Below are 21,436 nucleotides of genomic sequence, written 5' to 3' on the forward strand. Positions count from 1 at the left end.
AAATAAAAAATAAAATAAAATAAAATAAAATAAAAAATAAAACGGAAGGCCCGACCACAAACAGCAGGAAGGTCATAAAATTCATTTTTACAAGAGGGAATAGGGCTGGAGATACCTAACAGTTACCATGTGGTTAAGGTCGATCCATGAGTGCAGAGTAGATCATGGGTTCCACGTAGAGATCTGCGGAAAACATCCCAATGAACCCATGAGCATCAAGGAGACTCACCTGCCCCTTGAGCTACACAGACCAAGGCCAGACATGCCTGACCTGAACTCTGTCCTTTGCTGCTTTCTCACCTCATGATCCTCAAGAGCAGCTGTCTCACATGGCCCCCGACAGCCCCTAACACCAGTGACCTATGGGATTACCGAATGGGCTCAGCTGAGTAGGAGGCAGATGCAGAGATTAGACAGCAAATGTTTCTTAGGGCGAGCTCTTGGGATCAAAATTCATGGAGGCCCAGGGAAGGAAGCAGGATTGGATGGAGGGAGATATGGAGCTGCGCAGAACCAATAAAGGCCTCAGCCTGCCACCACACCCGGCTAATTTTTTGTATTTTTAGTAGAGACAGGGTTTCACCGTGTTAGCCAGGATGGTCTCGATCTCCTGACCTCGTGATCCGCCCGCCTTGGCCTCCCAAAGTGCTGGGATTACAGGCGTGAGCCACCGCACCCGGCCTACAAAACATCTTTTAAATTAGCTGGGCGTGGTGGCACATGCCTTTAGTCCCAACTACTCTGGAGGCTGAGGCAAGAGAATCACTTGAGCCCAAGAGTTCGAGGCCACATTGAGTTATGATCGTGCTGGGGCACTACAGCCTGGGTGACAGATCAAGGCCTTGTCTCTAAAAAACTGAAAAAACAGGCCGAGCGTGGTGGCTCATGTCTGTAATCCCAGCACTTTGGGAGGCTGAGGCAGGCAGATTGCCTGAGCTCAGGAGTTCAAGACCAGCCTGGGCAACATGGTGAAACCCTGTCTCTACTAAAATACAAAAAATTGGCTGGGCGTGGCAGCGTGCGCCTGTTGTCCCAGCTACTCGGGAGGCTGAGGCAGGAGAATTGCTTGAACCCAGGAGGTGGAGGTTGCAGTGAGCTGAGATCGTGCCATTGCACTCCATCCTGGGTGACAGAGTGAGACTCCGTCTCACAAAAAAAAAAAAATTGAAAAAACAGAAATTTTTAAAAGCCCAAATTGTCACCATCATCGAAGACCTTTTTAAATGTGCTACAAGCTTTGAGAAGTTGCTGTCACTTTAAGCAAGGGCAATATCATTAAAAACATGTATATGGCTGCAAAGGTGATGACAACTCTGATAGAAATAACATTCACTTGAATGTGGGCACAAAAGTATGAGTTAAAACCATCTGTTACTTAACAGTCACAGGCACATATACTACAAACCTATTTTATTTATATAACTTCTTATGAAGTAGATTTTGTACACATGGTAGGCTAAAAATTAAAACTGCTTTTCCACAAAACTGATAAATTACTAGATTCTTGGTTCTTTCATGATATCATAACATTAAATCATTAAAAATATAAGGCAATTTAATGTAAACTACTAGCATTTACAAAACAGTAAAGTTATAAAAAACTGTATTACAAGCAAATGCACCAAATACCAGTGAACATGAAACAGGAGTGAAGTTTGCTGGAGAACATTAAAAATCACTTTTCAGTGGGTTCACTTCACATTCATGCTGCACTGGGCCTGACACGTTCAGCACCATGAAGCAGACACTTCGGCAACTAGAAATGTTACTTCTGTTTGACTTTTTTTCTAAAATGAAAAAGCAGTCTGTGAAATGCGTGTTAAGAACGATCTATCTAGAGTCGCACAGGGTCCAGGGCCGCTGCAGTTGACTCAGTTGTTCCCATCCTCGTTTTATTTGACAAAGTACTTCATTTGGCCACTCTGGAAGAATTTATTTTCTTGATATCAACTGGGCTCAGAATCAGTGTTCCATTTTTGAATTTTCCAACCTGTCCAATCCGTCCATTTGACAAAATACTGGGAGCGGACTTCTTTTTGGATTTCCTACATTTAAAGTAAGAGAAAGGTACTATAAATAGTCAAGCTTACCAACAAGCATCACAGTACCACCAACCAGGCCACTGCAGTCTGGCCTGCAAACTCCTGGTCGCCTGCCATGCACACCCCCCACCCCATACGCCTTCCTGTGGTCCCTGAAACATGCTACTGCCTTCCTGCCTCAGGGCCCTTGCACTGGTTTCTTCTGCAAGGAATGTTCTGCTACCAGCTCTTTCCAGGCTGCCCCTCTTCTTTGTTCAGTTCTCAGCTCCGATGTCACCTCCTCAGACTAATTTCCCAGCTCACCTTCTCCCTGTGGTTTTCCTTCACAATGCTCTCTTTCAGCCTCTCTACAATACTTGCCAGTACCTGATATCATCTTACTTATCCATTTGTATGTTTTGGGGTGTTTCTCTCCCTACAATGAAGCTCCTCAAGGGCAGGGATATCTTTAGTGTGATTACAGCTGTACACCAATACCTAAGACACCCACATGCCTGGCACAAAGAGGCATTCAACAGATACAGATCGGTGGCCAGAACAAATGACCATTTTACAGCATGTACAAGTGCACTAGGAGCCCAAGAAAACAGGCTAAGACAAAAAGAGTCCATTCTGAAACAGTAACTCAAAGACAGAGAAAAAGGCATTTGAACAAAAGCTAACAAACAAGTATAAAGCAACAAAGTCAACATCCCTTATTCATAATTACGGTGCTCTATCTTACGTGGTATGTCAAAGAGCAGGCTATACAGACCCAGACTACGCTGCTGTAGCAGCACTCTTAGAAGTCTTTTCTTGGAAATGTAAACTGCAGCTTTTCCACTAGTCACTTAGAGTGTCGGTGAAAAGTGGAAGATTGGAGAAACTTCCTAATTCAGTTCTCAGGCAGTTGTTTGATCTTGGGCAGTTTACTAAATCCTACTTTGACAAGGATAAATGAGAGACAGTGAAGCGCTCTAATGGGCTAGCAACACCACATACATTCAAGGCGTCCTTGTCAGAACTCATCAGTAGGTTCATCCAGATTGTTCAACCCCAGGACCTGATAAAATCACTCACCTGTCCTCCTGTCCTTTCCTCTTCTTTTTCTTGAAAATATCTGTTTCTTGGGCCTGATTTCAGAATTTAAGATCATATACATATTAGTAGTGGATAATGGGATTCAAACAAAAGGCAAGAGGTTTGTGACCAAAAGTCATTGAGATACCATTTTTAACATTTCTTTCAAGTGGGCATATTAAACATAACAGTCTCAAAGTTTTACCCTAAAACCCTTTCAAGAATGTGAAAGGCTGGGCCTGGCGTGGTGGCTCATGCCTATAGTCCTAGCACTCCAGGAAGCCAAGGGGGGAGGATCACTTGATCCCAGGAGTTCAAGACCAGCCTGGGCAACACAGCAAGATCCTGTCTCAGTTAGAAAGAAAAAGACAAAAGAATGTGAATGGCTATTCCAGGTAAGACTAATAGTCTTACACTGAAAGCTCAAATCTTCCATTTTAGGTGAAAGGTAGAAAGTGTAACATCTATTCCCCTTGTGGTTTTTCATAGGCCCTTGTGTTGTATACAAGGTTATACAACGTAAAATGCAAAAAAAAAAAAAAAAAAAAAAAAAAACCTAAGTATAGAAGAAAGATCAAAGTAGCCTGCATTATTGGAACAGGATTGCTATAGTTTGGATAGCTGACCCTCCAAACCTCAGGTTGAAATTTGATCCCAACATTAGAGACGGGACCTAGTGGGAGGTGTTTGGGTCATGGCAATGGATCCCTCATGAATGGCTTGGTGCTGTCCTCATGGTAATGAGTGAGTTCTCCCTCTGTTACTTCCCACTTCCCATGAGAGCTGTTTGTTAAAAAGAGCCTGGCACCTCTCCCCACTGCTGCTTCGCTCTTTCATGTCTCGCTCTTGCCATGTGATCTCTGTACACATGGGCTTCCCTCTGCCTTCCCTCATGAGCGGAAGCAGCTTCAGATGCTCACCGGAGGCCGAGCAGATGCCAGTGCTATGCTTTCCATGCAGTCTGCAGAACCATGCTCCAAATCAGCCTCCTTTCTTTATAAATTACGCAGCATCAGGCATTCCTTTACAGCAACAAAAACGGACTAAGACAAGGAGTTTGCTATTTCAAAGCAAATCTTGCATGTAAGTACGCCAGATTACTTGGCTGGTATTACTAAACAGAGCTAACTCGAAGAAATGGGGAGCATGGGATCCTTTAACTCTGGTGCCTTCATTGCTCTCCAAGCAGCGGCTTCCGGCATTCCACTGTGGCAAAGAGCATCCATCTTCCCATTCTAGTTGAATAAAGGACAGACCATCACACCTACCAGTCTCTTTTCTTCTTCCTTTGCTGCCTTTTTTTCTTTAATTTGCTCCTGTAAAACCTTGTAATTCACATAACTCTTTTTAGGAGGCTGTAATGAAAGAACAAAGAAACAAACCATCATATTTTATTCTGCAAAAATGTTCCAGTGTCCCTTGCCCTGACTTGCTCTTAGCTTTCCTTGCTCTTGCTTTTTTTGCATGTTGTCTAGTGATGAAAGGTAGCAGCAGCCCCTCACCTTAGCGCCCAGCATAATGGCACGTTCCTGTTCCAGGATTCTCTCCTTTCCTTTTCCATAACCCGTGATACCAAACCGGTGCACTTCTAAACGAGCCTGCGGACACAAAGCATAATCAGACGCAAGTGCATTCCAACAACTCCAAAGAAAAAAACATACTGCCAGAAGTAATGCATTTCAGATCCACCGCTCTGTAATGACAGCGTACAGGAATAATAACTCCACTGTCATGTGGTCAAAGGAGCTCTATGGAGGCTCTCCTACCATACACCATCTCTCACAACATCTTTCTCCTGTTTTTTTTCCTTTGAGACAGGGTCTTGCTCTGTTACCCGCCAGGATGGAGTACAGTTAAAAAGAGGCATGATCATGTCTCACTGCAGCCTTGACCTCCTGGGCATGTGATCTCCTGCCTCAGCCTCCCGAGTAGCTAGGACTATAGGCACGCACCACCACACCCAGCTAATTCTTAAAAAATGTTTTATAGAGAAGAGGTCTCACTATGTTGCCCAGACTGGCCTTGAACTCCTAGGCTCAAGTGATCCTCCCACCTCAGCCTCCCAAAGTGCTGGGATTATAGGTGTGAGCCACCGTGCCTGGCTCTCGCCCACGGTTTTTTTTTTTTTTTTTTTTTGAGACGGAGTCTCACTCTGTTGCCCAGGCTGGAGCACAGTGGCATGATTTCAGCTCACTGCAAGCTCTGCCTCCTGGGTTCATGCCATTCGCCTGCCTCAGCCTCCCGAGTAGCTGGGACTACAGGTACCTGCCACCATGCCCAGCTACTTTTTTGTATTTTTTAGTAAAGATGGGGTTTCACCGTGTTAGCCAGGATGGTCTCAATCTCCTGACCTCATGATCCACCCACCTCGGCCTCCCAAAGTGCTGGGATTACAGGCATGAGCCACCGCGCCCCGCCCTCTCTCATGTTTAACTTGAACAGCTGATACAAAGAATTATCTCTGCACAAAGTAATAACAGAGGCAGGATTCAATGCAGAGCTCTGTAGTTAAGAGCTTTAAGATGCTCTCTAAAACAAGCCATTGTCCATAAAGGCAATAATTTCAACTGAAAAATACCTCTCCAAACACACCCACTCACACTTAGAAACCATTTATCACAGCAGCTTCAAACATAGATCCATGGTTTTAGAAGGAAGAGAAAAAGTCAGCAATACCCACTCTTAGTAGTTGAATTACTTTTTCTTGTCTTTTTTCTTACGTGTTTTTTAAAACATTACAACCACAGAATATACATATCCCCATACTTACCATCGTATCAGTGGCGTTGTAGTCACAAAACCATCATGTATTAAATGAGTATAAAATATTCAACCAAGTGAGTGCAGACCAGGCGTGGTGGCTCACGCATGTAATCCCAACACTTTGGGAGGACAGGCCAGGTAGATCACTTGAGGTCAGGAGTTCAAAACCAGCTTGACGACCATGGTGAAACCCTACCTCTATTAAAAATACAAAAATTAGCTGGGTGTGGTGGCACACGCCTGTAATCCCAGCTACTCCGGAGACTGAAGTCGGAGGATCACTTGAACTCAGGAGCTGGAGGCTGCAGTGAGCCAAGATCCTGCCACTGCACTCCAGCCTGGGTGACAGAGGGAGACTCTGCCTCAAAAAAAAAAAAAAAAAAGTGAATGCAGTATGATTTGCTTAACCATTTTCCCAACTTTTAGACATGTAAAATATTCATTTTTAGATATTATAAAACTGTTAATTTGGGCCGGGTGCAGTGGCTCACACCTGTAATCCCAGCACTCTGGGAGGCCGAGATGGGTGGATAACCTGAGGTCAGTAGTTCGAGACCAGCCTGGCTAACATGGGGAAACCCCATCTCTACTAAAAATACAAAAAAATTAGCCAGGTGTGGTTGCAGGCACCTGTAATCCCAGCTGCTCAGGAGGCTAAGGCAGGAGAATCACTTGAACCCAAGAGGCAGAGGTTGCAGTGATCTGAGATGGTGCCATTGCACTCAAGCCTGGGCAACAAGAGTGAAACTCTGTCTCAAAATAAAAACTGTTAATTTTTATAATACCTAACATCTATACTACATAGTTTGCATGTTATGTTATAAACTTATAATAAATTTAATATAAACATACATTTATAAACAAATACTGTAAATAAAGTTAATTATAAATAATTTAACAATCTCAAAGTACATACTTTTTCTAGGTTAAATTCTTGTGTATCCACATCTCTCTCCAAAACACTAGGATTAGCCTGCTGAGAGAAAAAATTCTTATTTAGATCATCTGTTACTATATCATTATAGTATCTATCACCGAAAGAGTAGACATGTTTTAAGGAACCTGAAAGTGACCCTTTCACACCCACTAGACTGGCTACTGTCCAAAAACCAGAAAATAACAAGTGTTGGCAAGGATGTAGAGAAACTGGAACCCATGCTCTATATTGGTGGGAATGTTTTACCACATGGTATAGGCATTGGGGAAAACAATTATGATGGTCCCTCAAAAATTAAAAAATAGAATGATCATATGATCTGACAATTCCTCTTCTGGGCATATACCCAAAAGAACTTGAAGAGATATTTGTACACCTACGTTCATAGCAGCATTATTCATAATAAACTCAGAAGCAACTCAAATGTCCACCAACAGATGGACAGATACTTTTGAACGTGGCATATACACATGCTGGAATATTCCACAGCCTGAAAAAAGAAGGAACTCCTAACCCATGCTACATGGATGAACCTTGAAGACATGATGCTAAGTGAAATAAGCCAGTCACAGAAGGGTATGTGCATGATTCCATTTTATGAAATACCCAGAGGAGTCAAATTCACACAGACAGAAGCTAGAATGGTGGCTGCCAGGGGCTGGAGGGAGGGGAATGGGGAGCTGGTGTTTAATGGGTATAGAGCATCAGCATCGGTTCGGCAAGCTGAGAAGAGTTCTGAAGATGGATGGTAATGAGGGTGGCACAACACCATGAATGAGCTTAACACCACTGAACTGCACACTTAAAAATGGCTAAAATGGTCAATTTTACATTCATGTATATTTTACCACAATTAAAAAAATGGAAAACAGAAAGAAACCTTGAAACTGGCCCAGATGGCCAACTGTCAAAAGTAATACAAGCATGTTGCTCAAAATCCTAAAGAACAACTAACAGAAGAAAAATGGAGACAATACTTTTTAGGGTCTCAAAGCTTATAAAAGTAATGATGAGAAACTGAGAAAAAAAGAAAAGCTGGTAAGAGAGCACTGCCTGAATCTCACACATCACACACAGAAAATTCTGCTTGCTGGGAAGGTTTAGAAAAGGATGGCTGTGAGCAGGAATTTTAGATGTAAAATTTAGAGGGTAAAACTGCTATATTCAAGTAATTATTTCTTTCTTCCCTCCCATCTGGCCACTAGTGTAATGGGCTAAACAGTTCTTTCAGAAATATCAGATTCCTAGCATGGCAGAGATTTGGTTTATAATTCCTAACAGAAAATGATGTTGCTGCAAATGCCCCCAAAATATGTGACTCTTTATATCACCCTATCTCCTGCCCTACCTGCCAAGAGGTGCCTATCACAACGGCACCATGTGCCATTGACCACCAATGGTGGTAGTCCACCCTGCAACTACACAGTCCATGAGGCAGCCACAATGGAGTCCACTTGCTCTCTCCTTCTCCAAACGGGAGCTGTGCTTCTGCTTAGCCTGGTTCCTCATCCCCCACCCCAGCCCCCACCACTGTATTTAAGGTGTGTGGGTTCAGACAGTCAGTCACTGCATGTTTTCATAGATGATGGCTTCTGACTCCCTATGAAATGACTCTTCAGATGATGAGGAACTCTGCACTTAATTCACAGGGGGGTTATTACGATATAACTGGATAAAGTGTGATAAGTGTGTGGCACAGGGTCCAAAAAACAGCAAGGCTTACCCAACGCTCTTATTCCTAATGGATCTACTGACCATACCATCAGCAGCATCATGGGCATCCACTGTCACATTGGACGCTGACTGGCTCTCCGTGGGCTTGGGGTGCTGATGGTAACAGAGGACGTGACAGCAGAGGACCACTGTCAGGGTCCAGGCGTATGGCCTAGCTCTGTGCTATTAATCACAACAGACGCACTTTCCATTTACTTCATCTTCCTTCCTGGCTTCAGATTTTCTTCAAACCTGTCTCCCACTTGGCTGACAGCATCAAGTGCCTTAACTGAGACCACAGGCATAGCACGGAGGACTCTGTGTGCGCCACTTCCATTTTATCCACACCAGAAAGAGTCTTATTCCTATTCTATGACTGGAAAAAATTCCACATTTACTTTGAAGTTACGATATCTTTTCCACTGCCATGCACATCTAATCTATTTACTATGACCATATCTAACCCCTATAAAAACAAACAAAACCCTGTATACCGTTCCCAGATCTCCAAGATCCCCTAAGATATTTACCGCCTTTTCTAAACATTTAAGTAATTCCTCTCTTCCCTCCTACCCGCTCCACTGAAGTAATGGCTAAATCAAGTCTCTAAGTTGAACATTTCTTTTTCTTTTTTTGAGACGGGGTCTCACTCTGTCGCCAGGCTGGAGTGCAGTGGCGCGAGGCACGTCAGATTTCTAGCAATACTGGAGATGTTATAGATGTTTTTGGCCGATCTGTTACTAGAGATTAGCATGAGAATGGAGCAATTTAAAGAGGATTTCAGCACAGTAATAAAATTCTTGGCCAACTGTATGATAGCTACTATGAGGCTGAAACCCCTGGGCCCTGGAAAGAGACCGGCCTACAAAAGAAAGGAGCAATGTCGGGCCTCTCCTAGTTCCTGCTGTCCCCATCAGCAGCCACGGAGAACACCTAATCCCCTGCACCTTGGCTGTGGGGACACCAGGGCTGAGGGGCCGACTAGACCAAGGGGAGGAGAGAGTCCCTTGGTGGTAGCTCTGGCACAGACACAGATACCTCGGTGTCCTCATCCCTCTTTAAACAGTTCACCAGAAACATCTTAGTTTTGTAGCTATTGATGGCTTTTTGAGAAAGGGTCTGAGGTCTAGATCTGTGCATGTATCAAACACAAACTTTTGGGAAAAAAAAATTCTTGCCTCATTATTTCATAGCTGCTGAGTCCCTATTAGCATGACCCACCACTGTCTAATTTTTATTTTTATTCATAGCTTGAGAATCACTTCAGTACATTATTCATAATACATGACCTGACTTAGAAACCATCAGTGGTCTCCTCGGTTTTCTTTCCCCCCATATTCTCTGCAGTAGGAGGCATTACTGCCCATAGGCAATACTGGGTCCTCCACTACTTCCAGGCACACAGGCGACTCACGCTTCCCCGTCTACTTGATGCTAGGAATGCCTAGGTGGCTTTCCCTGGCCAAAGAAACACGAGCAGAGGGGGTGTGTGCCTACTTCCACGTGGACCCCTTAAGAGCCCTTCATTAACTCCCCTTTCCTTCATTAAAGCAACTAACCACCCTCCAGATGGTGGCACCCCGTCATCCCGGGTCCCTAGGTGAGGATGGTGTGGCACAGGAGACCTGCCTCTGCAAATCCCGATGGCCATGTAACATGAGAAAAATTAATTTTTGTCTTTTAAACCACTGGGATGTAGGGACTATTTGTTATCAAATCACAGCCTAACCTATCGCAACTAATCTAGCCTTACTATCCCACACAAGGGAGAGGGATATGTATGGAGATTCTGAGAACTTATATGCTGGGCAGGGAAGAAGGAAGAAAAGCTAGAAAAAGAAAGAACAGTTTGGAAGAAAAGTGAGAGATGAAGGCAGGCAGTCCACCAGATTCAGCAAACCCGTCTATGGGGTGATTTAGGTATTTTCTCTTACGCGGCTTAGATTTTCTTTCTTTTTTAATCTATTAGTTGAAGTGCCCAACCAACCTGTCTCCAATTAGAGAGAGAGTAGCCCGGTAAACAAATGCTCTTTTAAAAATGCAGACGGCTGTATGAATATTAAGAAGTTTGTTCACACCTTGATGAGCCTAAATTACTTCAGCTAGATTACTTTCTTCCTAACACCCATCTGACACTGATCTACTCAGGAACAGGAAGTCTGGCGTAAAAGTAAGAAGAGGCACTGGAGCATGGAGGATTTCCGGGTGGAGTACCATGCAGTGGGCTACATCCACATTGCGGGGCAGTATGAGAGCTGCAAGAATTTGGGGAACGATCAAAGCTATTTGACTATAACTTGCAAGAAATGTCTCTGTCTGGCGATGGCTCAGAGTCAGTGTACTTGTGTCACTCAAAGGACAAAGAGCAGAGCCTAACCTCACCTATGCTCTCTCTAGTATAAAAGTTATGTACACAGTGTTGAAGCCAGAAAGCCTGGGGTCTGAACCCAACCTTTGGCACTTACTTCAGCTCCATAATCCTTTATCTGGCATCCTTAGGGTCAGGTTCCAGCTTTAAAATTCAGAAGTCTTTACATTTTAAAAAGGCAAAACTGAATATACTGAATATTACAGACCACTTCCAGTAGGGTCCAAGGCAGTAATCCATAATTAAACACATTAATATTTCTGTGGCAATATCTATGAATATTCACACCAAATGAGATGAACAAAAAATTTTTTTTTTTGAGACGGAGTCTTGCTCTGTTGCCCAGGCTGGAGTGTAGTGGCACAATCTCGACTCACTGCAAACTCCGCCTACCGGGTTCAAGCGATTCTCCTGCCTCAGCCTCCTGAGTAGCTGGAACTACAGGCGCATGCCACCACACCCGGCTAATTTTTGTATTTTTAGTAAAGACAGGATTTCACCATATTGGCCAGGCTGGTCTTGAACTCCTGACCTTGTGATCCGCCTGCCTCAGCCTCCCACAGTGCCGGGATTAAAGGCATGAGTCACCGTGCCCAGCCGAACAAAAATGATTTTTAAAAGCTTCATCAGGTTTTTCTGCCAAATAAATCTGCACCAATCTTAAAAGAAAAGGGATCAATCAAATTGTGGTTTCCAGAGCTCTGGGTGTTTGGAATTGCAGATATGGGGCTGTGAGGTTAATGTTTAACTACAGGCAAGTAACTTAACCTCTTGTAAGTCTCAAGCTTCTCTGTGAAATGAAGACAGGTGCCAGGAATTGTGAGGATTGAGACCATAAATGAGTTAATGAACATAAACAAACACTCTCAGTACACCCCCAATAAATATTAGCAATTCGCTATATGCTCAGGGGCGGCCTTCATGTACCTCAGTCTCAGGATGCAAAGGTCCCTTCTGATCTACAGAACACTATTCTATTATGTGTTTCTTATCTCTTTCTTATCTGAGGCCACAAAAGAGGCTAAGGTTCCTGAAACAGGGGCAGTGAATGATTCACGTTAAGATGGCCCAATGCTAGCTGTGGAGAAATGGCAGTGACACAGCTCTAAGGGCTGAGCAACACACAGGTGTGTTAAGCTACATCTGACGCTTTCATTGCTTAAAAGCATAAGAATTTTCTTCCTTACAGGCAGCCTTGCACTTATGAAAGAGTAGGTTTGCCCATTCATTTTTTTGAGATCACTAGTCCAGGCCACGCTATTTTGAACCTGGACCACTGCAACAAACCCCTACATCAGTCTCCTCATGCCTCTTGCTATTGCTCCCTTATAATCGATTCACCACATAGGAGCTACAGTGATCGTTTTAAAATTTAAATCAGATTACCTCATGCCCTTGCATGAAATTCTTTGGTGGCTTCTCATGTACTTAAGACTAAAGTCCCAAGGCTCACTACTGCCTATGAGACCTGGCAAGGGCTGGTCTCAGCCTGTCTCTCTTGTATTAGCACCAACCATTCTCCCTTCTGTCCTAGTCTTGCTAGACTTCTTCCAGCTCCTTGAACACACCAGGCCTCTTCATACCCCACAATGTTAGCAAGGCTGTTTTCTCCCTCCTTGGCTCACTCTTCCCTGCCCCATTCACCAGCACCATTTAATACAGCATTAGCCTGAATGTTACCTCCTGAGAGACCTCCCTGACCACTACATCTAGACCAGGTTCTGCATGGTACTCCAGGACCCTATTTGTTTATAATTCTTTCTAATTATATTGCTCAACTCCAAAGTAGATTGTACAGTATACTCCATAAAGGCAAAGCACTATTATCTTCTTCACTGCTCCATCTGCAAGGTCTGCAGACAGCAGGCACCCAGTGATTGGTGGAATAAATGGAGGAATGAATATGTGATCCCATACTATTTCCAGCCAAATTACTTGTATAGTCACTACATTAAAAATGGGACATGGGCCGGACGCAGTGGCTCACGTCTGTAATCCTAGCACTTTGGGAGGCCAAGGAGGGCAGATCACGAGGTCAAGATCGAGACCATCCTGGCCAACATGGTGAAACCCCATCTCTACTAAAAATACAAAAGTTAGCTGGGCATGGTTGTGTGCACCTGTAGTCCCAGCTACTCAGGAGGCTGAGGGAGGAGAATCGCTTGAACCCGGGAGGCGGAGGTTGTAGTGAGCTGAGATCAGGCCACTGCACTCCAGCCTGGTGACAGGGCAAGACTCCATCTCAAAAAAAAAAAAAGGGACATGATGGCTGGGCACAGTGGCTCTCACACCTGTAATCCCAGTGCTTTGGGAGGCTGCGGCAAAAGGACTTCTTGAGATCAGTGGTTCAAGACCAAGCCTGGGCAACAAAACAAGACCCCAACTCTACAAAAAATTTTAAAATGAGCCAGGCATAGTGGTGTGCCCTATAGTCTTAGCTACTTGGGAGGCTGAGGCAGGAGGATGGCTTGGGCCCAGGAATTGGAGGCTGCAGTGAGCTATGATCACACCACTGCATTCCAGCAGGAGTGACAGAGTGACACCCTGTCTCTAAACATAAAAAAATATATATAAATGGTGGCCAAGTTCCGAGATGACCCCATGAAAACCTGCTTCAATGCACGATGCAGCTTAATCATAGAATTTATAGCACAAGTTCTGGAAAAATAGGGTAATTTCCTGGGTCTAGGCAGGGCCAGCTGGATTGTTGTCCAACTCACCATCCCCTTCTTCCTTTCTCAAGCATTCTCTAAAAATGACCAGCTGATGCTATGATTGGTCATGGAGATTACCATTACCCATCATATATTTTTGCCACCCATGTCTGTTTAACTGTCCTACAATGGCTTAGAAGTTTTTAGAGAACAAGGGCACAACTATACTTTCCCATGTTACACAAACTCAGCACAGCTGGTGTATTCCAATTAGCACCAGTTGGCTGACTACCCTTTAACTTGGCATACCCAGGATATGCCATAAGAACTAGCATTATATTCATGTGTATTTATTTCCACACCGCAATGTCAACATTCTGAGGTCATTTTACAGGTGTATGTGTTTTTAATGTGTCCACATTCTGTTTCCTTAACCAGACACACTCACATTTTCAAAGGACACATTTAAAAAAAAAACAAGAGGAAAGGGCAGAGAGCAGCAATGACAAATGAAAATTTTCATTAAGGTCAGGAAGTTCAAAACGTAGAGTGAGCTGAGGCTCCTGAGAAGAGCCAACTAGAATGCATCAGGGCTCGCTTGGAACGGGAAGCAAAAGACAATTTGACAGACTGCCACAGATGTTCTATTATTAAGCAACAGGGAAATGCAGACTCATTCAATCCCAACTCTTCTGTCTTTTCTATTAAAAAGAAAACTTTCCATTCCAGAAAAAAGAACATGAGGGAATATAAGAGGAAACTGAAGTCTGAGACATTTGAAGAAACAAGAAAGGGTGCCTAAATGCTTTATGTTAGTTGAAGTCTTCAAATGCTGAATTATATTGCAAAGCAGTGCTCACCAACATTTTTCATATCATGACACATACAGAAAATACCAGTATTTGTAGGGTACACTGGGGTACTGGGAGATGGCCAGCTTCGGGGCTCTGGTTGCCCCAAACACCAAGGGAATCCATTTCTTGACCCTCCCGTAACAGTTCCCAGAGCCTTATATTTGGAACATAAGAGTTAAGAAGCTTATCTAGAATCCTAAAATAAAGGTAGACATGGTTACAGATTCACTAATAATCTTTTTTTTTTTTTTTGGAGAAAGGGTCTCGCTCTGTCACCCCCGCTGGAGTGCAGTGACACAATCACAGCCCACTGCAGTCTCGACTTCCTGAAGTCAAGCAATCCTCTGGCCTTGGCATCCCAAAGTGCTCGGATTACTGGCGTGAGCCACCACGCTCAGCCTGCAGAATGCGCTAACGATCTTTGAGGAAGAGATGCCAGCAAGCTTGATATGAAATGCTACCTGAATTTTAGAAAAGATTATACAGATGGTTTTTAAAACCATAAAGATGTGGCAAACACTGGACACTAACATACATTTATACATTCATAAAGAACAATGCAAGCCAAACCATCTTCGTAGTGGGTAGAATTGTGGCCTCTAAAAACATATGGCCATGTCCTACTCCTCTTCAGAACCTGTGAATGTGATCTTACTTGGAGAGGGATCTTTATAATTAAACATCTCAAAAGGAGATCATCCCAGATTCAGGGTGGGCCTAAAGCAAAGAGGAAGGCAGAGGGAAACATGAGACTCAGGGACACAGGGATGAAAACCACATTAAGACGGAGGCAGAGATTATAGTTATGCAACCACAAGCCAAGGAAACTGTTAGAGCTACCTTCTGGTCAGAGGCAAAGGATTCTCCCCCAAAGCCCTCAGAGGGAGCATGGCCCTGCCAACACTTTGATTTTGGACTTCTGGACTACGGAACTGTAAGAGAATACATTTCTGTTGGTTTAAGTCACCATGTTTGTGGTAATTTGTTATAGCAGGCTTAGAAACTAATACGTTCAATCCTCACTTCTTTGTTGATAGACAAAGGTTTGCAGGACGTGGGGGATGTTACAGAAATGGAATAGCAATGAATTTGTCAAAGCCATTATGATATTCTTGTGAATAGATAAATTAAAAACATTTGGGGCCAGGCGCAGTGGCTCACGCCTGTAGTCCCAGCATTTGGGGAAGCCAAGGCGGGCAGATCACGAGGTCGGGAGATCAAGACCATCCTGGCTAACATGGTGAAACCCTGACTCTACTAAAAATACAAAAAACTAGCCAGGCGTGGTGGCAGGCACCTGTAGTCCCAGTTACTTGGGAGGCTGAGGCAGAAGAATGGCATGAACCTGGGAGGTGGAGCTTGCAATGAGCTAAGATCGTGCCACTGCACTCCAGCCTGGGCAACAGAACGAGACTCCGTCTCAAAAAAAAAAAAAATTAAAAACATTTGGAGGAGCAACCACACCTCCCTTGGGGACTGAATTTTAGGTGAGATTTACAAGCTCACTCTGAAAAAGATTACTGCTCAGAAAAATCAAATTGCTTTTCCACCAGCATTGCTTTTCCTCGAGAGCAAGAATTTCTATACATTTGGTTCACTGCTATATCCCAGTGCCTACAACTGTGGCTAGCACATAACAGGAATGCCAGAAAGAGTTGCTGTAAGAGTTAACTCAGCAGGCCTGTGTTTACCAAACCCTGCACATTCCCAAGAAAGTCCTATTTTCATGACTGGCAGTTGGCTGCCTCCTGAGAATTGAGCAATTAGAATATTCTGCCTGATCAGAGTGTTTTTGCATACCTGAGGTCTTGAGCCACTGCTGTACCAAGTTTTCCCAGACAGTTTATACTAGCAATGTGATTGATGGTGAATACCTGCTTTTCACTGGAGGTCTAGAACTTGAATAACTAAGGTCAGTCTGTAGGCCTACATGACTGATAAGGGCTATATGCTGAGTCTTGGGTCCTGTGAGTCCTTTTGGCAAATCTGCAGGCCTGAGGATAGTCAGGCATTCCTGCCACAGTCTAAAGAGCTATTCACCTAATACTACAATACCAGGGGGTTCACCACGTATATATAAGCTAACCAACTCATTACCTTTGTGTTCTTGTTATGATCTGGCGTCAATTTTCTTTTTTTATTGCTGTGAAATTCTACCACTTCTACTTGTTCCCTATTGTTCTTTAGGGAAGAGGGAGGAACTGCAGCAGCAAGGATCTCTGGTCCTGTGGGGGTCCCAGAAGGAGCACAATGCCGCTCTTCTCTAAGTTCCTTGAAGAAGCTCGAAGCGCTCTTCCTCTGGCCTCTTATGAGAGAACCAGGTAGGGGAGATGGCTCTGCTGCCAAGGCCGCTGAAGCCATCACATCTCTCTTCTTGTTTTCCCTTTTCTTTATGATCTTCTTCTGTTCTGTTTCACCTTCTGTACCTCCTGTTTGTTCAAACACAAGAAGGAAAATAAATATTTTCAGTCTTAGCTATCATCAGTATCAAATCCTACGAATGTATTTGTACATATTCCAGGGCTATATGCACCTAGAAGCACACACAAAGAAATAAACTATTTGTTTTCTTTCAAATAAGTGTATTTGCAAAATGCAGAGAATCCAAAATGTAGTCATCTTTTCCTAGGTAACTATGTCTTTGACCCTTATTAGCACAATCACTTTAGTCTCCACTTTGGTTCCTACTCAAAGTGTCATCACAGCAATAGTCCCCAGGGCTGGTAATCCCAATTGGCTTTATACTAAAAATATCAGGCACTGCAGCCACTGTTTCTTTTTAACACTTTCTGGGTTACAGGAACATGGAATAGTCTTCCTATTTTCTTTCACAGTTAGGAATTAAGATGAACCTAAGACAACTGGCTCAATTTGAATGCCTTTGTTTTCTATTAATTCCTCTTTCTATATTTCACTTGTTGAAGCTCTGACCAGTCACCTGAAAGTTCTAACCAGAATCCTAGGCATCCTTACTCACATGTATTACAAATACCACAGAGCTCTCTAAATTACCAGCTGCTGATTTATGCTTGCTACTATTTGCTTAATCTTTTATACAATAAACATTTAAGAGCCAACTAAACTTTGGCATTAAGGATATAAAAATGAATAGACACATTCAATGCCTTCAGAGCTCCTACCATGATTTCCAGCCTGTGTTGACATGAACTATATTATTTTGCAGAATAGTCTTTTCCTCTAGATTTTAAACTTCTCAAGGTCAGAGACTAAGTCTTCTCTGTCCTCCAATATGTCCAAGGGCACAGAAATGCTAGTTAATACAAGCATGGGGTCTGGGGCTAGAATCAGAACCCAGGCTCTGCAAAAATTACCAGTCAGACAACCTGCATCAGGTTTCATGAACTTCTAGTACTTGTTTCTACATCTGCAATCATGGATTTATGACAGTGTCTATTTCATGAAGTTGAAAATTAAATGAGCAAATACACGAAAAGCATGTGCTATATGGCAAGTTCTCAACAGTTTTAACTATTATTCCTACTGTTTAGGTGAACTTAGAATTTTGAGCAGTCATTCCAAAATAAAAATAGCTTTTAAAATATCACGCTGTAAATTTAAGAAATGTGTGTTGTCCTGAAATCTAATGATTTTCTTTGGTGCATGTGCAAAGGGTGTCACCTTCTCCCGGGAAAGCTCTTCAGAGTATGAGGCACTGTCTTCCTACTGACATGCCATGCGACTTTAATAGGCTCTTTTATTTTCCTTTTCCCCCATCAAGACAAAGAACGGAGAGTAAAAGATCAGCGCACTTGTTTAAAAAAAAAAAAGTCGTGAAAAGGACAACTCGCCAAGGACTATGATGTCTCTGGAGAGGGACACACAAGGATGAAGCTGGTGTATTATCCAACAGGCCCGAGGCCCCAGAGCGAAATGACACCATCGCACCAGGGTCAGGCAGGTCTTGGGGGTGGCATGGGGAAAGGGGACTTCCCAGGGCTCAAGAAAACGTGGAAAAGCGGGCTACTTTTAAATCGGAAAGCCTTGGTGCTTCCTACAAGCAAGTAGGATGGTCCCCACACTTGGGGACGAGTTGGAAGGTTTGATGAATAACTCAGCAGAGCCCGGTCGAGGGGTGACTTCCGATGGAGAAATGTGTTCGCTACTGGAACCAGGTGGGACGAAGGGTGCTTGACATGCAAGAACCTTTAGCCTCAAAGCAGAGGCCAACCCAGGACGGGCAACACAGGAGACCCACGTTCCTCAAATCTGTTCTCCACGTGGGCTCCTGGGACCCCGCACTCACCAAAGTCGTAAAGGTTCTGGAGCAGAGCGTCAAGAAGTGTCGGAGAACTGGGAGGCGTGGAGGACCCCGGCCCTTGCTCCTGCGACATTGTGGGGTCAGCCGAGGAATCAACCCTCATTCTGCCGCGCTGCACCCCCGCTTCCGGGTTCCGCGACTGCGCGCATGCGCTGCAGGGCCCTGCGCGGCTTCCGTCCTGGCTGAGATGGCGGCGCCCGGGATCCTGTGTAGCGGCTGCAGAGGGTGCCGCCGCCCTAGGCGAAGTAGGGCCGTCCTGAGCGAAAGAACCGCCCCCAGCAGGAGCACCACCACGGCTTAGCAAAGAATCCCAGACCCCGCCCGGGAAGGCAGCCGCACCATGGAGTCTTCCAGTTCATCTAACTCTTATTTCTCCGTTGGCCCAACCAGTCCCAGCGCTGTCGTGCTCCTCTACTCGGTAGGCGCCCAGGGAAAAGAGGCCCAGAGCGGAGCCGCGCGAAATAGTACCCCTTTCTCCCAGTCCCTATTCCTCCGGCCCACCACCCTTGCCCAAAAGAGCTGGCCCCTAGGCTCCCGAGGAGGGGTTAGTTGGTTGGATTGGTTTCCAGGACAACAGTGTATCGCTGTGTGTCTGTGTGTGCATGCTTTTGGAAGTTTCTACGGATTATGGTTCCTTTGGTTCCTTTCCACTTTTTCCTTCTCTTTCTTTCTATCAGGCCCTGGGGCCTTCAGAAAGCTCCTGGACACGAGAATGAGGAATGAGAATTGGAGTCTCCCCATCTCTAGCGAGGGCATGTCGAGCTACCTTTTGGGCAAACCTGAGAAACTTGCGGGTTTGACCCGCCCTGAGATAGCCTGTGGCTCCGCACCCCGCCCTATGCTGCTGTTATATTCCTGGGAGTAGAGCACTTGGCTTGTATGTGGGAATAGAGTTTTAAACACTTCAGGAAAATTTAGAACTTCTAGACATTTTTATTGCCTGTTCTTGTCTTCCAGTCATTATTGTACCTTTTCCACAAATCATTTTGGAGGACAGCCAGCGCCACCCAGCTTCTCTCCCGCTTGTCTTTTTTTCCTCCAACCCCCTCTTCCTCTCTTGGTTTTAACGGGTCTTTTTGGCTGGCAGATGTTGGTCACCCACGATTTTCATGAAGAAATTATGAGATGGGAGCTTTATAGCCTTCAGGATTGCACAGACCTGGGGCAACTGGTTTGGTTTTTGTTTGTTTCTTGTTGTTTTTAACCACTAAATTAGTTTTTAGCTACTTTAGGAGAAAATGAAAGAATTCATTTTAAAAGCATATTAGCATATCCTGGTGATTACTGTCCAATTTTGGCTTAAATGTAGTGTTCATTTGTGCAGAAAGGTCAAAACAGGGATAACACAGCAGAGCAAGATAAACACCCCAGTTTTGAAAGAGAATATATGGGTTCCTTCAAATTGAGACACCAATATTCTTTGGAACATGGAGAAACTTCTGTTCCCTCTCTATCAAGACCTTTCGGTTTCTGATTGCTAACTGCCTATAAGCCTTATTATTTAGATATATCTCTTCATTGATCTTATCTTCCCCACAGTTCTGTGGTGGATATCAACTTTGTTTTCTGACTCTGCTACTCCAGAGCAGGCACGAAGGGAAGAGGGTTGCTGTGCAGATCCAGCTTTTAACATGTAGCTTTTTAAGCTCCCAACTGGTTTGTGAATTGGTTGGAATTTTCCTTTTGTACATTAAAGGAAGGAGTTGGTTTTGTTTGTTTGTTTGTTTGTTTTACTTCCCCTTTACCAACGGTTCTTTAATAAGACTTGAGTCCACTTTTTCATGTGAAAAACTATGGCAGTTGTATCTGAGCATTCTGTAGTTCTGATGCTGGACAGCAACCCACTCTTTACTGGTAGTTCTCACTACTGTTTTGTGACTGGATAACCTTTACTTCCACGGTAACCTTACTTTTTCTTAGTACTTCAGGCTGTTTTTATTTCCCCAGCTACGCTGTTATTGTGTAATATTCTGATCTAAAAGTAGCACTTTAGAAGCGTAGAAGATACTGCTGATTGCAGCAAACATTAGGAATATATACAGTATCCTACTCATTATTCTCAGTTTCCAAGATATAGAAGTTACAGATGCAGGCTCTGCCTTTAAGGGCACAAAAAGTCATAAAAGTAAACAAACAATCACAGTTAAGTATGGTAAGGGCAATGATTGAAGCATGCACAGCGTGTTGTGGGAGAGACAAGAAGGGGCACCTGACCAGTTTGGGAACTTGGAGAAGGTTTCTAAGAAAAGGTGATATCTAAGCTGATCTTCCTTTTTTGTTTTTGTTTTTGTTTTTGTTTTGTTTTGGAGACAGCCTTGCTCTGTTGCCAGGCTGGAGAACAGTGGCTCGATCTTGGTTCACTGCAACCTCCATCTCCGGGGCTCAAGCGATTCTCCTGCCTCAGCCTCCCGAGTAGCTGGGATTTTAGGCACACGCCACCCCGCCCTGCTAATGTTTGTATTTTTAGTAAAGACAAGGTCTCACCGTGTTGGCCAGGCCGGTCTTGAACTCCTGACCTCAAGTGATCTACTCACCTCCCAAAGTGCTGGAATTACAGGCATGAGCCACTGTGCCTGGCATGAGCTGAGTTTTTGAGCTGTGAATGGCAGATGAGGGAGAGGAAAACTGTCCTAGATGTTGATGTAAAAAAAACTACTCCCTTGCATATTTGGGGTTAGAATTAGTTAGATTTGGGTGGAAGAAAGGAGACATGAGAAACAAAGTAAGGAAGTAGGCAGATATTTCCTAAAGAAATTTTATGTGTCGT

The 21,436-nt window shown here is 44.0% G+C and overlaps 2 protein-coding genes across 5 annotated transcripts in view, besides 2 other annotated features; one reads left to right on the forward strand and one right to left on the reverse strand.

Annotated features, from left to right (window-relative positions):
• Positions 1-1,395: 1,395 nt before the first annotated feature.
• FSAF1 (40S small subunit processome assembly factor 1) lies at positions 1,396-18,806 on the reverse strand. Of its 2 annotated transcripts, none has more exons than NM_001300830.2 (7): positions 18,655-18,806; positions 16,488-16,819; positions 6,781-6,837; positions 4,604-4,699; positions 4,370-4,456; positions 3,102-3,154; positions 1,396-2,045 (listed from the first exon to the last, which is right to left on the reverse strand). In NM_001300830.2, exons 1-7 carry the CDS (start codon positions 18,770-18,772, stop codon positions 1,910-1,912), a joined length of 879 nt encoding a protein of 292 aa, NP_001287759.1. In that variant the 5' UTR covers positions 18,773-18,806; the 3' UTR covers positions 1,396-1,909. The 2 variants fall into 2 exon arrangements, with proteins under 2 accessions (NP_001287759.1, NP_689592.2); NM_152379.4 differs by having other exon boundaries at positions 6,781-6,840.
• Positions 18,536-18,875: an enhancer, noted in NCBI's record as "active region_2725". NCBI's record gives its function as "activates an Ori minimal core promoter by ATAC-STARR-seq in GM12878 lymphoblastoid cells {active_cell/tissue: GM12878}" and the evidence as "EXISTENCE:reporter gene assay evidence [ECO:0000049][PMID:35858748]".
• Positions 18,843-21,436, forward strand: part of GNPAT (glyceronephosphate O-acyltransferase) — a 36,762-nt gene continuing 34,168 nt past the window's right edge. For all 3 annotated transcript variants that reach the window (NM_014236.4, XM_005273313.5, NM_001316350.2), the window contains exon 1: positions 18,843-19,087. In NM_014236.4, the coding sequence (NP_055051.1) occupies positions 19,010-19,087 (78 nt within the window). In that variant the 5' untranslated portion in view covers positions 18,843-19,009. The remainder of the gene's footprint in view (positions 19,088-21,436) is intronic.
• Positions 18,856-19,745: an enhancer, noted in NCBI's record as "H3K27ac hESC enhancer chr1:231376971-231377860 (GRCh37/hg19 assembly coordinates)". NCBI's record gives its function as "activates a minimal SCP1, AML or CMV promoter by ChIP-STARR-seq in primed H9 embryonic stem cells {active_cell/tissue: H9 hESC(primed)}" and the evidence as "EXISTENCE:reporter gene assay evidence [ECO:0000049][PMID:30033119]".

This window comes from Homo sapiens, chromosome 1, assembly GCF_000001405.40.
Source record: "Homo sapiens chromosome 1, GRCh38.p14 Primary Assembly".
Classification (NCBI taxonomy): Eukaryota; Metazoa; Chordata; class Mammalia; order Primates; family Hominidae; genus Homo; species Homo sapiens.

What these genes read in the sequence shown, in the direction of transcription:
- FSAF1 (NM_152379.4), bottom strand. Translation starts at nt 18,772, where the DNA reads ATGAGGGTTGATTCCTCGGCTGACCCCACAATGTCGCAGGAGCAAGGG. An exon ending in CCAGAACCTTTACGACTTTG is followed by an intron (nt 16,820 to 18,654) that starts GTGAGTGCGGGG and finishes TTGAACAAACAG; the next exon opens with GAGGTACAGAAGGTGAAACA. An exon ending in AAGAATTTAACCTAGAAAAA is followed by an intron (nt 4,700 to 6,780) that starts GTATGTACTTTG and finishes TTGTGTCCGCAG; the next exon opens with GCTCGTTTAGAAGTGCACCG.